The sequence below is a fragment of the Homo sapiens genome, chromosome 19, assembly GCF_000001405.40.
Source record: "Homo sapiens chromosome 19, GRCh38.p14 Primary Assembly".
NCBI lineage: Eukaryota > Metazoa > Chordata > Mammalia > Primates > Hominidae > Homo > Homo sapiens.
The window spans coordinates 3,854,766-3,869,224 of NC_000019.10; the positions used below are offsets into that span (position 1 = coordinate 3,854,766).

The 14,459-nt window shown below is 52.7% G+C and overlaps 1 protein-coding gene across 4 annotated transcripts in view; it reads right to left on the reverse strand.

Annotated features, from left to right (window-relative positions):
• Nucleotides 1-14,273, reverse strand: part of ZFR2 (zinc finger RNA binding protein 2) — a 65,015-nt gene extending 50,742 nt beyond the window's left edge. For 3 of the 4 annotated variants that reach the window (NM_015174.2, XM_011527831.3, NM_001145640.2), the window contains exon 1: nucleotides 14,200-14,273. In NM_015174.2, coding sequence (NP_055989.1) covers nucleotides 14,200-14,252 — 53 coding nt within the window. In that variant the 5' untranslated portion in view covers nucleotides 14,253-14,273. Of the gene's footprint in view, nucleotides 1-636; nucleotides 795-14,199 lie in introns of all 4 variants that reach the window. The other variant, NR_027149.2, reaches the window with a different exon arrangement.
• Nucleotides 14,274-14,459: the final 186 nt, after the last annotated feature.

Below are 14,459 nucleotides of genomic sequence, written 5' to 3' on the forward strand. Positions count from 1 at the left end.
AGGTTTTTTGTTTTAAGAGACAGGGTCTCGCTCTGTCACCCTGGCTAGAGTACAGTGATGCAATCATAGCTCACTGCAGCCTCTAACTCCTGGGCTCAAGTGATCCACCTCAGCATCCCAAGTAGCTGAGACTACAGGTGTGCACCACCACACCCAGATAATTTTTAAATTTTTTGTAAAGTCAGGGCCTTGCTTTGTTGCCCAGGCTGGTCTTGAACTGCTGGCCTCAAGCAATCTTCCTGCCTCAGCCTCCCAAAGTGCTGGGATTACAGATGTGAGCCACTGTGCCCAGCTAATTTTTTAAATTTTTGGTAGAGATGGGGTCTCACTATGTCGCCCAGGCTGGTCTCGAACTCCTGGGCTCAAGCAATCCTCCACCCTTGGCCTCCCAAAGTGCTGGGATTACTGGCATAAGCCAACGTGCCCAGCCAAGTTTTTCTTTTTTTAATGTGAATTTTTTACTTCTACTTTAAATCCCAACTTAGCATGGAAAATCATTTGCATTTTCAGAACAAAGGAGGCCATCTTCTGGCTAAGCTGAAAAAAAAAGTCATTAGAGGCCTTCTGAGGCACCATTTTAAAGATGATATTGCTTTTGCGGGTTGCACTATGAGAAATTCTGTGTGTACAAAATACCTGACAGAAAGTGAAAGCAGTCCCGGGCGATCCGGCGGCAGATTCATTGAGTCATTGGATAAATACTTCCTGGGTGCTAGTGGGGACCAGCTGCTGTCATGGGCGCTGTCACAGCAGCGGGGAATAACCAGACCAAAGTCCCGTCCTCCAGGAGGGTGCTGCGCGATAGTCCAGGGAGACACGGGGTCAGCAAAATAATTCAACGCGATCTGATGGTTCTCATGCCGCCGGGAAGGACGCGGCAAGGGGGTGTGAGCAGGGGGTTGCACTTTCTCACGGGCTGGTCATGGCGGGCCTGGTGGGTGAGGAGGAGGGTGAAGACACAAAGTTGGGGAAACAGGGCAGCGCATTTGAGCAGAGGGAATTGCATGGGAAGGGCCTGAGGGTGAAGTGCCCGGAACCTGGATTGGTCCAGAAGGCAGCGTGACTAGAGCGGAAGGAATGAGGGGAGATGGGGTCAGAGAATAAAGGGTGTGGAACAGGGGGCAGAGGACACCATGATGGATGTCACAGGCCATCGTAGGGGCTCCAGCTTGTCCCCTGAGACCCCACGGGGGTTTCCAGCGGAGGAGGGACATGGGCTACGTTGTGATGGGGCCTCTTTGGCGCTGTGCGCGGATGGAAATGGGGGCGAGAGCAGAAGGAAGCGTGAAGGTCCAAAATACAGACGAGGCAGGCTGGTGCGCGGTGGAGGCGGTGCGCGTGCAGGGGCGTGCGCTCAAGGTCAGAAGAAGGAAAGGAGGCCAGCCTGGCTTCCCATTTTGGGATCTGCACGAAGGACTGCCGGCGGCCCTGCCTGCCGCGGGGAAGCCAGCAGGATGAAGGGGTTTTGGAGAAGCGTGCAGGCGCTTGGACTTGGATATGATCAGCCTGAGATGCCAGTCAGACATCCACAGAGCATGCTGCATGGGCCGCTGTATGCAGGGGCCGAGACTAGAGCTCCAGGGAGAGGCCTGCGCTGGAGTCAGAAACTGGGTGTCATCGATAGTTAATATTTTTTTAAGATTGAGATATAGTCCACACTGTAACATCCCCCCTTTAAAGTGCACGGTTCGGTGGCATCTAGTACATTTACAAGGCTGTGCAAACATCACCTCTACCTAATTTCAGAATGTTTCCACCACCCCAAAAAGAAACCTGTCCCCATCAACATTCTCTCCATCCCTCCCCAGCCCCCGGAACCACTAATCCATTTCCTGTCTCTATGGATTCACCTGTAAAATGGGAACACCTAATTTGGTATGGTGATGGTGTGATGATTAAACAAGAACTCACAGGCTACAGGGCCCAGCATGTGGCAGGAGCTTACGATGTAGCCCAGGGTAGCCAGAGTTTCCTTTATTTTTGGAGACGGAGTCTTGCTCTGTCGCCCAGGCTGGAGTGCAATGGCGCCATCTCGGCTCACTGCAACCTCCACCTCCCTGGTTCAAGCGATTCTCCTGCCTCAGCCTCCCCAGTAGCTGGGAATATAGGCACCTGCCACCACGCCTGGCTAATTTTGTATTTTTAGTGGAGATGGGGTTTCACCATGTTGGCCAGGCTGGCTCGAACTCCTCACCTCAAGTGATCCGTCCACCTCGGCCTTCCAAAGTGCTGGATTACAGGCAGGAGTCACTGCACCTGGCCCCAGAGTTTCCAATTTTAAGCGATGCTAGGAACCAGAGGTTTTGTGAAATCTTCTTTTTTTTTTTTTTTTTTTTTTTTGAGACGGAGTCTCACTCTATCGCCCAGGCTGGAGTGCAGTGGCACAGTCTCGACTCACTGCAACCTCTGCCTCCTGGGCTCAAGCGATTCTCCTGCCTCAGCCTCCCGAGTACCTGGGACTACAGGCGCACCCCACCACGCCCAGCGGAATCTCCCACTTTTAAATGCTGGCAACTAATTCAAATAAAGCAAGCAAAAAGCTCACTGCACAGGCGTGAGAACCAAACACGGCCTGCAGGCTGTCAATTTTCAAAGTCTGACCCACACTGAGGAGGTGAGAGCGATAGTTGAGAAACAGGTATAAAAAGTCACAAACTGGCCGGGTGTGGTGGCTCACACCTGTGATCCCAGCACTTTGGGAGGCTGAGGTGGGCGGATCACTTGAGGCCAGCAGTTCGAGACCAGCCTGGCCAACATGGTGTATACAAAAAAAAAAAAAAAAGCCGGGCATGGTGGTGCATGCCTGTAGTCCCAGCTACTCAGGAGGCACTGAGGTATGAGAATCACTTGAACCCAGGAGGCGGAGGTTGCTGTGAGCCGAGATTGCGCCACTGCACTGCAGCCTGGGCAATGAAGCGAGACCCTGTCTCAAAAAAAAAAAAAAAAAAAAGTCATGAATTTATTCTCAGTAAAGCCTGCCCATAACCAATGAGCCCAGGCTATTTGCTGCTGCTGCTGCTGTTTGGAGTCACCTGTTGCTGGAAGGAACTGTGCCACTGTACTACACCAGAGACAGCTGCCATCTCCATGACAACAAGCACGCGCTGGTGCTGCCTGCCTGGGAGGGGAGAAGAGCACAGGTGGGAAACGGGGAGCCCAGGCTAACATGGACTTACAAACAGTGGTGACACACGTCTACAAGTCCTGCCCGGCACTCCCACCTTCAGGCCCCAGGCTAATGTCTTTTGATGGCTTTTTGGTCGGAGAATTTGTTTTGGGAAGTCAAGCTTTTTCAGGTGCATCCTTCTAAACTGAATTTTGGGATGCAAAGCTAGCGAGCCCCACTGATCTCATTTTGTTCACACGGCCACCAAACTCAAGGGGACGTCAAGGCCTAGGGGATGGAATGGGCCCATCTGAGCTGCCCACGTCACCTGGCCCAGAGCTCTTTCTGTAGGGCCATGCTCTTGCTTGCTCCGAAGAGACGGAGCAGGCTTAGGTGTGGTCCACACTTCAGAGGGACACGGGTGGGATCTGCAGATAGAGGCAGGTGGCGAAATGTCTTAGGGACAGCCAGGAAGATGGGTCATTCTCTATTTGCATATAATGCTAATTTCTGCTGAACACTGCATTGAATAACTCAATGGGAACACACACACACAAAACCCCCCAAAACATTTAGAGTCCAAGGAAAAACTCAAGTGGAAATAAAGATTTTCCTGGAATCACAGGCTGAGAAATGTCATCATTCTTTCTAAAAACAAGGACTCAGTCAGGTGCAGTGGCTCACGCCTATAATCCCAGTGCTTTGGGAGGCCAAGGCAGGCGGATCACCTGAGGTCAGGAGTTCAAGACCAGCCTGGACAACATGGTGAAACCCAGTCTCTACTAAAAATACAAAAATCAACCGGGCATGGTGGTGCATGCCTGAAATCCCAGCTACTTGGGAGGCTGAGGCAGGAGAATCACTTGAACCTGGGAGGCAGAGGTTGCAGTGAGCTGAGATTGCACCACTGTACTCCAGCCTGGGCGACAGAGTGAGACTCCGTCTCAAAAAGAAAAAACTAAAATAATTAAAAACAAGGACTCTTTCTTCCCGAACACAGCTCATCACCTATTTCTCTATCACCCCCATGGCAGATGGAGATGAAGGCTGAGGCCACCCAGCTGGAAATGGAAATGTCACAGGGCCCTGTGATGGTTAATACTGAGTGTCAACTTGACTGGATTGAAGGATGCAAAATATTGTCCTGGGTGTGTCTGTGAGGGTGTTGCCAAAGGAGAGTGACATTTGAGCCGGTGGACAGGGAGAGGCAGACCCACCCTCACTCTGGGTGGGCACCATCTAATCAGCTGCCAGCTCGGCCAGGATAAAAGCAGGCAGAGGAACGTGGAAGGACTGGACTGGCTGAGTCTACAGGCCTTCATCTTTCTCCCATGCTGGGTGCCTCCTGCCCTCGAACATCAGACTCCAAGTTCTTCAGCTTTTGGACTCTTGGGCTTACACCAGCAGTTGGCCAGGGGCTCTCGGGCCTTTGGCCACAGACTGACGGCTGTGCTGTCGGCTTCCCGACTTTTGAGGTTTGGGGACTCGGACTGATCCACCCCTGGCTTCCTTGTGCCTCAGCTTGCAGACGGCCTATCGTGGGACTTTACCTTGTGACCGTGTGAGTCACTTCTCCTGGATAAGGTCCCTTTCATGGAGACCTCTATCCTGTGAGTCCTGTCCCTCTAGAGACCCTGGCTCATCCAGCCACTGACTTCCGTGCCCCGGGAACCGCTGGAGAACACCTGCACTCCCGCGTTCTGACCTTGGCGCGGTGGGTCTGCGACTGCGTGCAGCGTGAGCCACACCCAGGTGGAGGGCGCAGGGCCTCAGGGGCCAGAGAGACAACGTGCCCTGCCACACCAGAGGCTAATGCGTCCAGTCAAGTCCTTCATCAGGGAGAGAGTTTTCAAGTCTGTTTTACCAGCAGTAAGACGACATTTCAATCGCTGTGTGTACACACAACACACACACACCCAGAATTTCATTTTGTGGCACTTCTGTTCACAGGGGTTTTATATTCAAAATGCATCTTACACATTCATACCCGTAACAGTCCTGATTTTGTAACCAGTTTTTTTCTTTTTCTTTTTTTCTGACCATGAAACCCTTAGGTGCAGTCTCCATGTGAAATGCCCATTTCAGATCCAGAAACCCCCAAAATGTCCCAACGTATTGGAAAGGAGTTCTGTTAACTCAATCCTCGGGAAGATACCAAAAGGACTTTTTTGCTTTTTGAGTCAGGGTCTTGCTCTGTCGCCCAGGCTGGAGTGCAGTAGCACAATCATAGTTCACTGTGGCCTCAAACTCCTGGGTTCAAGTGACCCTCCCGCCTCATCCTCCCAAGTAGCTGGAACTACAGGTGTGCACCACCATGCCTGGCTAATTTTTTTTTTTTTTTTTTTCAGAGATGGGGGGGGTCTCACTATGTTGCTCAGGCTGGTCTCGAACTCCTGGGCTCAAGTGATCCTCCTGCCTCGGCCTCCCAAAGTGCTGGGATAACAGGCGTGAGCCACTGCACCCGGCCCGAAAGGATTTTATCACCCCAGGCTCACTTTCAAACCGTCTTCTTTTGAATGGAGTCAAGAGGCCAGCTCCAAACCAGGACCCGCCTGGTTCCTCAGGATGGAGCCACCATAGGGCGGCAGGTTCTTGAGGTGGGAATTGGATTCCAGAGCCTGGGCGTCGAGTTTCCCGAGCCTCGGGGGCGAGCCAGGTTATGCGGCAGTGGGACTGATGGGCTTGTCCTCTGCCCTGCTGAGAAGGAACATGGTCCCACGTGGAGCTGGCTGCATGGTGAGCCCCACCAGGCAGGTGCTTGAGAACACCAACTTGACGATACCATGCTGATCACGCTAGAGAAGGCATTAGCTACGTGCCCTCCCAGACGCAGGACAAGCGACAGAATTTCCAACAGCATCGGCTCACTACGGCAACACCTTTTTACTCTTGTGCACCAAACTGGCCGACATCTCAGGAACAAGGAGGGGTCATCTCCTGTTCCAGCCCTCTCCTGCTGCTTTAAGAAACGGAACGACCTGCAGAGCCCTGTCTGTGCTGGCTCATGAGCCGCTCGTGTCAAGGGCAGGACAAGATGGCAAACCCCAGGTTCTCATGAGCAACCACAACCGGCCTCGAACCACCAACCTGGACTCAACCAACGACACTCAAAACAACAGACACCACCGGCTCTTTATACATCCATGGCAAGGGCCTGGGGACATTACAGGTCACTCTGCTCCCAAGGGGCAGAGCTCACCACAGACTTCACCTCCTGCGGCAGGACTGGCCTTCCCAGATCCACAATGCCGCGGAAGCAGAGCCATGCCGCCTCTCCACTCTCCGCCAACCGCGACAAGTAAACGACTCACAATAGGTCCATTTAAAAAGGCAAATGGAACTTACCTTAGGGGAAAAAAACCTGCCCAAAGCAAAAGGAACATATCCACCAAAAAAAGAAGTGTCATTCCCCCAAATATGTACAAATTAACTTTCTAGCTAAAAGAAATCTGGCAACTTTAAAATTAAAGTTGAGCAGAGCGCGGTGGCTCACATCTGTAATCCCAGCACTTTGGGAGGCCGAGGCAGGTGGATCACTTAAGCTCAGGAGTTTGAGACCAGCCTGGCCGATGGCAAAACCCCGTCTCTACAAAAAAATACAACATTTAGCCTGGTGTGGTGGTGTTTACCTGAAATCCCAACTACTTAGGAGGCCGAGGAGGGAGGACTGCTTGAGGCCAGGAGGTTGAGGCTGCATTAAGTTATGACCACACCACTGTGCTCCAGCCTGGGTGACAGAGTGAGACCCTATCTCAAAAAATAATTGAAATAGGGCTGGGCACGGTGGCTCACGCCTGTAATCCCAGCACTTTGGGAGGCCAAGGCAGGTGGATCACCTGAGATCAGGGGTTTGAGACCAGCCCGGCCAACATGGTGAAACCTCGTCTCTATTAAAAATACAAAAATTGGCTGGGCGTGGTGGTGCATGCCTGTAGTCCCAGCTGCTAGGGAGGCTGAGGCAGGAGGATTGCTTAAACTCGTGAGCCAGACGTTGCAGTGAGCCGAGATCGCGCCATTGCACTCCAGCCTGGGCAACAGAGTGAGACCCTGTCTCAAAAATAATAATAATAAAATACAAAGACAATGAACACAGGGTTTACAAGTCCCTTTCTACGTGTTTTCCTTATTTTTCTAGGGCTGCCTAGTTATTTATCTGATCAGGGCCTTTGTCCCATGACCCCCAGAACCCCAGGAAAGAACACCAATATTCATTACCCTCAGGTGAAAAGACTGTTTTCCAGGGCCATTTGAAAATGCTTTTAAATCTGATGTATTTGTTCTGATCATTCTAAATACACACGTTGGTAGACCCACACAAGAGACAAATACAAAATAAAACTATTAAAAATCCAGAAACAGAGAATATGTTTAGGAGAGAAAAAAGTCTCCTAGGAATTTACTTCTGCCCCAGTATGTATGAACTAACTTTTGGTTCTTTTCTTTTGAGATGGAGTCTCACTCGGTTGCCCAGGCTGGAGTGCAATGGCGCAATCTCAGCTCACTGCAACCTCCACCTCCCGGATTCAAGCGATTCTCCTGCCTCAGCCTCCCGAGTAGCTGGGACCACAGGCACGTGCCACCACACCCAGGTAATTTTTGGATTTTCAATTGAGATGGGGTTTCACCATGTTGGCCAGGCTGGTCTGGAACTCTTGACCTCAGGTGATCTGACTGCCTCAGCCTCCCCAAATGCTGGGATTACAAGTGTGAGCCACCGTGCCTGGCCTAACTTTTGGTTCTAAAACAAGTAAGATGAAAAATCAAAATCCACACTTCAAAAACATCCAATCTACCTAATTCCTTGTATAGGAGCTCAGACCGCAAGTCCTGTCATTTGAAAAGGTTTCCTGAAAGTACACTTCAACCCATTTTCACGTGCAGCCGGCAGCTGCCTCTCGGATTCTCTTCTAAGGAGTTCAGCCCCTAACACGTATTTCAGCCTTGCTGAGAAGGGCGTGAAAAAGACCGCAGCAACATGGGAGGGGCAAGTTCCCCCCTCGCTCCTCCAGGGTCGTGCTCCCTGGAAAGAATGGGTGCAGCAGAGGCACAGTTACTTATTAGGATGTGCAAACAGCTGGAGGGGCCCACGGTCTCACTTTCCTGGGGCTTTTTGGACCTGGTGGTAGGAGTCCATTTACAGGTATGCGCCCTGGCCCCCAAGGTGGCGACATCGGACTCTCCAGGGCAGCCTGTGTTCCTTGGACCTAAGCTCAAAGGACGGGGTTGGCCTTGGTGGGTGGGGTTTCCACTGGAAGGACCTGGAGGCCTGCCGGAGGGCGAGCGTGGCGTCTGGGCTGGGTATGACCAGGTCGGTTCTGAAGCCGGTTGCAGCCACACCTGGCAGGCAGGGGCTCCCATCAGGGGTATTAACAGGTTCTGTCACTGGCACTGGGGCTGCCGAGCCTGTTCTCATGGTCAGCATGGGCTCCGGGCCTTTTTCAAGCTACCTGTTGCCCGGGAGACATTTTTGAGAGATACGGGTTGGGTCACCGTTACTTTCCCAGTGACACGGGGCCATGTGCTGTCTCAATGTCCCCACTCCGGGGAGGGGCTCTTGTTTTTTTATTGTTTTTTGAGACAGGGTCTCTCGCTGTCGCCCAGGCTGCAGTGCAGTGGTGCGATCATAGCTCAATGTAGCTTCAACTTCCTGGCCTCAAGCAATCCTCCCTCCTCGGCCTCCCAAAGTGCTGGGACTGCAGGTGTGCACTGCCATGCCTGGCCATGTGTTTTTTAATGTCTAAAGGATGTAGCCCTAAACCACTATCTGACCGGGCCCTGAACTAGCAGGGCAGGGGCAGGTGACAGCGTAAAGGATGGCAATAACACAGTCTCTACCACAGGCGCAACCTCTAAGCTGACGTGGTCAGGGCTGGGTTCCACACCACGGCTGCCTCTCTAGGCTCCAGCAGCCCTGACTGTGAGTGAGGCACTGGCCTGGGCCCATTCCTAGCCGGGCCGACCACTGGGCCCCCACGTCAGTCCAGTGACTGCCCCCAAGCCTCACTTTCCTCATCAGCAAAATGGGCTTCACAACACCTACCCCAAGGATCACGTGAGGGCTCAGTCAGTATCAGGTGCCCGGGACTCACCTCACACAGAGAATCAATAACCAGCAACGAGCATCCTGCCCATCACTAACAGAGTGTGATGGCGTTCCAACCCCGCCTCCCACTTCCTGAAACTCTCCAGGGGAAGGAGCTCAGCTTATAATGTATGCTAATAGTGTCAGAATCTAATTGCAGGGAGGAAGTGCCTGTAATCCCAGCACTTTAGGAGGGAAAGGCAGGAGATCTCTTGAGGCCGGTTCAAGACCAGCCTGGGCAAAATAGCAAGACCCTATCTCTACAAAAATAAATATCGCCAGGCATGGTGGTGCGCACCTGTCGTCCCAGCCACTCCAGGAAGCTGAGGGGGGAAGACTGCCTGAGCCCAGAAGTTAGAGGCTGCAGTGAGCCAAGACTGCTACGGCACTCCAGCCTGGGCAACAGAGTGAGATCCTGTCTCACAAACAAACAAACAAACAAACAAACAAACAAACAGAGGTTCTCTGGACAGGACATCAAGTATTACACCAAAATCCAGTAGTCTTCTAACTCAGATTTAACAAGAATGCAAAGGCACAGCTAGCCGACTGCGTAATACTGGTGGAACTGTGACAAACTGCTAAACAAAGAGAAAGGTAACGGCAGAGGCCTCTGGCCTGTCGCTTCCCACTACTCTGCACTTCCAACACACCACTTTGAGCTCTACATACTTTCATGACTAGTGTGACTTAACATGTACAGACCCTGTTGGAGCTCCTCAGCTATTCTCAGCTAAAAAACTGTGCTCAATGCTAATCTTTCTTTTCTTTTCTCTCTTCTCTTCTCTTTTCTTTTTTTCTCTCTTTTTCTTGAGACAGACTCCCGCTCTGTCACCCAGGCTGAAGTGCAGTGGTGCCATCTCAGCTCACTGTGACCTCCACCTCCCGGGTTCAAGCAATTCTCCTGCCTCAGCCTCCCAAGTAGCTAGGATTACAGGCATGCGTCACCACAGCTGGCTATTTTTTTGTATGTTTAGTAGAGATTGGGTTTCACCATGTTGGCCAGGCTGGTCTCGAACTCCTGACCTCAGGTGATCTACCCGCCTCGGCCTCCCAAAGTGCTGGGATTACAGGTGTGAGCCACCGTGCCCGGCCTGCGCTCAGTGCTAATTAAAAGCACTGCTGCATTCAGTTTTCCACATGGGATTAATGTTTCATTCTGAAGACCTGCAGCACTAATTCAACTTCTAAAAAAAAATATGAGATTCATAAGACCATATAAAATAAAATAAAGATAATCAACATTATCAACAGCTAACTGTAAACTTTTCTTATGCCTTCAAGAGTGAATGTGGGTCCAATTCTTACTGACCAACAATTAAGCAGTTCAGATACCAACCCTATTTATGGATGAAAATGTTAAGGAAATTCCTACCCAGGGCTACGGTTATCATTTTTTTGTTCATTTGTTTTAGAGACAGTGTCTTGCTCTGTTGCCCAGGCTGGAGTCCAGTGTTGCAATCCCAACTCACTACAGCCTCAAACTCCTGGGCTCAGGTGATCCTCCTACCTCAGCCTCCCAAGCAGCTGGGGACTATAGGTGCACACCACCACATCTAGCTAATTGTTAATTTTTTTATAGAGATGGGGGGAAAGGTCTCATCATTTTGCCCAGGCTAATGTCAAACTCCTGGGCTCAAGTGATCCTCCTGTCTTGGCCTTCGAAAGTGCTGGAGCGACAGGCATGAGCCACCATGCCTGGCCTGGTTATCAATTTTATAAGCTAAGAAAACCTACCCAAAACTCCTAAAAAATGAATTGCTGCCTTTGTTTTGGCAATTCTTGAAACAGGTGTTGTAAATACTGCTGTCCAAATGCTGCCATAAAATTGGTACACAAAATCTGGTATCTCATCAGTTTTCTCATGGCAGGTTATATAAACCATAGGTACTTTTTTGTTTGTTTGAGACAGTCTCACCCTGTCGCCCAGGCTGGAGTGCAGTAACGTGATGATCTCAGCTCACAGCAACCTCCACCTCCCGCGTTCAAGAGATTCTCCTGCCTCAGCCTCCCGAGTAACTGGGATTACAGGCGCGCGACACCACGCCCGGCTAATTTTTGTATTTTTAGGAGAGACAGGGTTTCACCATGTTGGCCAGGCTGGTCTCGAACTCCTGACCTCAAGCGATCCGCTTGCCTCGGCCTCCCAAAGTGCTGGGTTTACAGGCTGAGTCACCGCGCCTGGCCAAAACATACGTACTTTAAAAGCAGCCAAAGTTTCCAAACAAAAGTCATTTCCCACAAGAAAGAATGTCTAGTTAACCTAAAGTCATTCAAATAATGCCTATCATCTTGTTTCAAGGTTTTGTGAGAATGAAATGTATTTTGCTATGATTCCTGTGTTATTTTTAGTTAATAGCTTACTATTTTCTTAAGGAAGAACACATTCTCTCTGCGGCAATTCTAAGGACGGACTAACTCAACAACTCAACACCGGGTTGCGTGTATACTGTATCACCTAAGCCATCAGAACACAGAAGGTAGCTGTGCTAAAATGGGTTGCGTGTATACTGTATCACCTAAGCCATCAGAACACAGAAGGTAGCTGTGCTAAAATGTATAAGCACGTTAATTCAAATCAATGACAGAAGCCTCTACTGAAGCTTAGCAATCACCTATTTGAACAACATAAACATTCAATTTCTCCTCTGGAAGGTAATTTTAATAGCAAGCATAATATTCAAGTGATTTTCCACGTCTGATGGAAGAATACAATGGAGAAAGAAAGAAGAGAAAGAGAAAAGAAGGAAGAGCTAGCAGGCAGAGGGGTGGAGTGTGTCCAGAAGTTTGTACTAGCCTGGATCGCTAGCCAAGTCCAGCCGCTTTAACTGAGCCCTGGCAATCAAAACACCACTGAGGATGAAGGAAGCAAAAGAAAAGATCAAATAAAAATTAAATGCTCCATTCTGGGAAATCAGCAGGTCATAGATTCTTTCCCTAATAGGAAATCCATTACTAGTCAAATACTCCACCAGAGAAACCACTCCGAGTGCAGGAAACAGATGCACTCCTCATTCCCACAGCCCTGGTTTCCAAGCCCTGGGTGGTTTCTCTTTGTGATTCCATTAGAAAGGGCACAGCAATATCACAGCACTGGTGGAAGGGTCGGCACTGCCGCTCCACCGCGGGAAGCTGAAACACCAGCCTGGATCTCTCTTCCATGTGCTGAAATGCAGTAGGAACACCGCGGGGGGCAAAGACCCCCCTGAGCTCAGCAGAGGCCCCTCTATGAGGTGCCCAAGGGGTGGTTTGTATCTGTGGGGGCTCAGCAGGGACTGTGAGAAACAAGGTTATAGCAAGCTACCAGCTGGAAACTAACACAAGGGTGACACGCGGAAATGATCAACTGTTGGGGGGGGAATCTGGTCCCCTCAGAGATGCCAGCCCTGGCTCCCGGACTGGGACTCCAGTCTTGGGGGCAGATGGACGGGCTGAAGATAGCAGAGATGCTCCGAGGAGCAGGCCTGGGAGAACAGTGTAGAGTGTGTGTTTGTACACTTGGGGCACAAACTTACCCCGTGTGTGTCCCTACCCTCTGAGCCCTTCTGCCCCTGGCCAGTTCCCAGTGTGTCCCCATCCCCTGCCATCTCTCCTCCAGGATCCTTTCTCTCCCTCCCCTCCCAAACGACCACATATTTAAGACCTAGAAAAGGATCTTAAATATCACAACACTCAGGGCCCTTTCTCCCTCCTCACTGTCCCAGCAGGGTCCCAGTTCCCTGGAAACCCAGGTGCCCACCCTCTTATTTGACCTCAGGACCTCCTCCCACATAATACTGGCTTCCCGCCAAGTCTCTGTCCCCCTTCCCCAGTCAGGCCTCAGTTCCCCACCAACCTCGGTTTCCGCCCCTCCCTGGGGTAACCTCCCAGGTCTCTGTCTTCTCTCCTCCACCCCACATCAGGGGTCAGGTTCCCACCCCTACTCCACACCCCACCCCAGGTCTCTGCCCCTGCCTGCTAGGTACCCTCCCAGGTCTCTGCCTTCTCTCCTACCCCCACCATCAGGGGTCAGTGCCCTCCACACTCGAATGTTGCTGCCCCCTGCCCAGTCGGGAAACTTCCCAGGTCTCTGCCTTCTCCTCCTCCAGCAATCGGGGATTAACGCCCCTCTGCCCTTCCCCTCCTCCTGCCCAGCCAGACACCCTCCCAGGTCTGAATTCTCTCCCCCTACCAGCAATCGGGGTCAGCTCCGCTCTAGCTCTCCCCCTGTCCAGCCAGACACCCTCCCAGGTTTCTGTCTTCTCTCTTACCCCCATCAGGGGCCAATTCCTCACCCCTCGACTGTGGCTTCCTCCTGCCCAGCCAGGAACCCTCGCTGATCTCTGTTTTCTCCTCCCCTACAAGTAATCGGGGGTCAGCTACCCTCTGTCCATCCCCCTGCCCGGCCAGGCACCCTCCCAGGTCTGTGTCTTCTCCTCCCCCCGCAATCGGGGGTCAATGCCCCTCTGCCCTTCCCCTCCTCCTGCCCAGCCAGACACCCTCCTAGGTCTGTGTCTTCTCTTCCCCTACCAGCAATCAGGGGTCAGCTCCCCTCTGCCCATCCCCACCCACTCCCCGGCCAGGCACCTCCCAGGTCTCCTCCCTGCATTGGGTCAGTTCCGTCCCCTCCCCTCCTCGGTCAGACCACCCACCCCCCGCCCGGGTCTGTCCCCTCTCGCTGCCCTCCTCGTGGCGCCCCCATCAGGGGCTGACCCCCCCGACCCCGCACAGGCCCAGGCCCAAACCCAGGCCCCCTCCCACTTCAGGAGCCCCCTCCCGCTCCCGCCGACAGACACCGTTGGCTGCAGAGACGTCTCAGCCGGAGCCCCGGAGCCCGCATCCCGCCCGGTGCCTAACCTGAGGCCGCCCCGCCTGCTTCTCCCGGCGCCGCGGCTTCCCTCAGGCCGGGGTTCCAGGTTGGGGCTGGGACTGGGGCCGGGCCGGGCGCACGCGGCGGGAGAAGGGGTAGGCGGGGTCCCGGCCAGGCTGCAGGGGCCGGGACTGGCGGGGGCTGGCGCGGCGGGGCAGTTACCTGTACTGCGGGCCGCCGCCCTGCGCGAAGTCGAAATACTGACTCGTCGCCATCTTGGCGTCTTCCCCGAGCCTGGCGGACCCGCGACGTCACCCGCCCCGCCCCCGAGCCGCGTGCCGCTCGCGCCTGGCCACGCGCCCCAAGCTCCGCCCCCTGCGCGAAGCCCTCACCTTCTCGCTTCCTTCTCTTAGGCTAGGGAGACACCGCCCCGCGACCACACCTGCCCCGAGGCCCCGCCTCCTACGCAGAGCCCCGCCCTC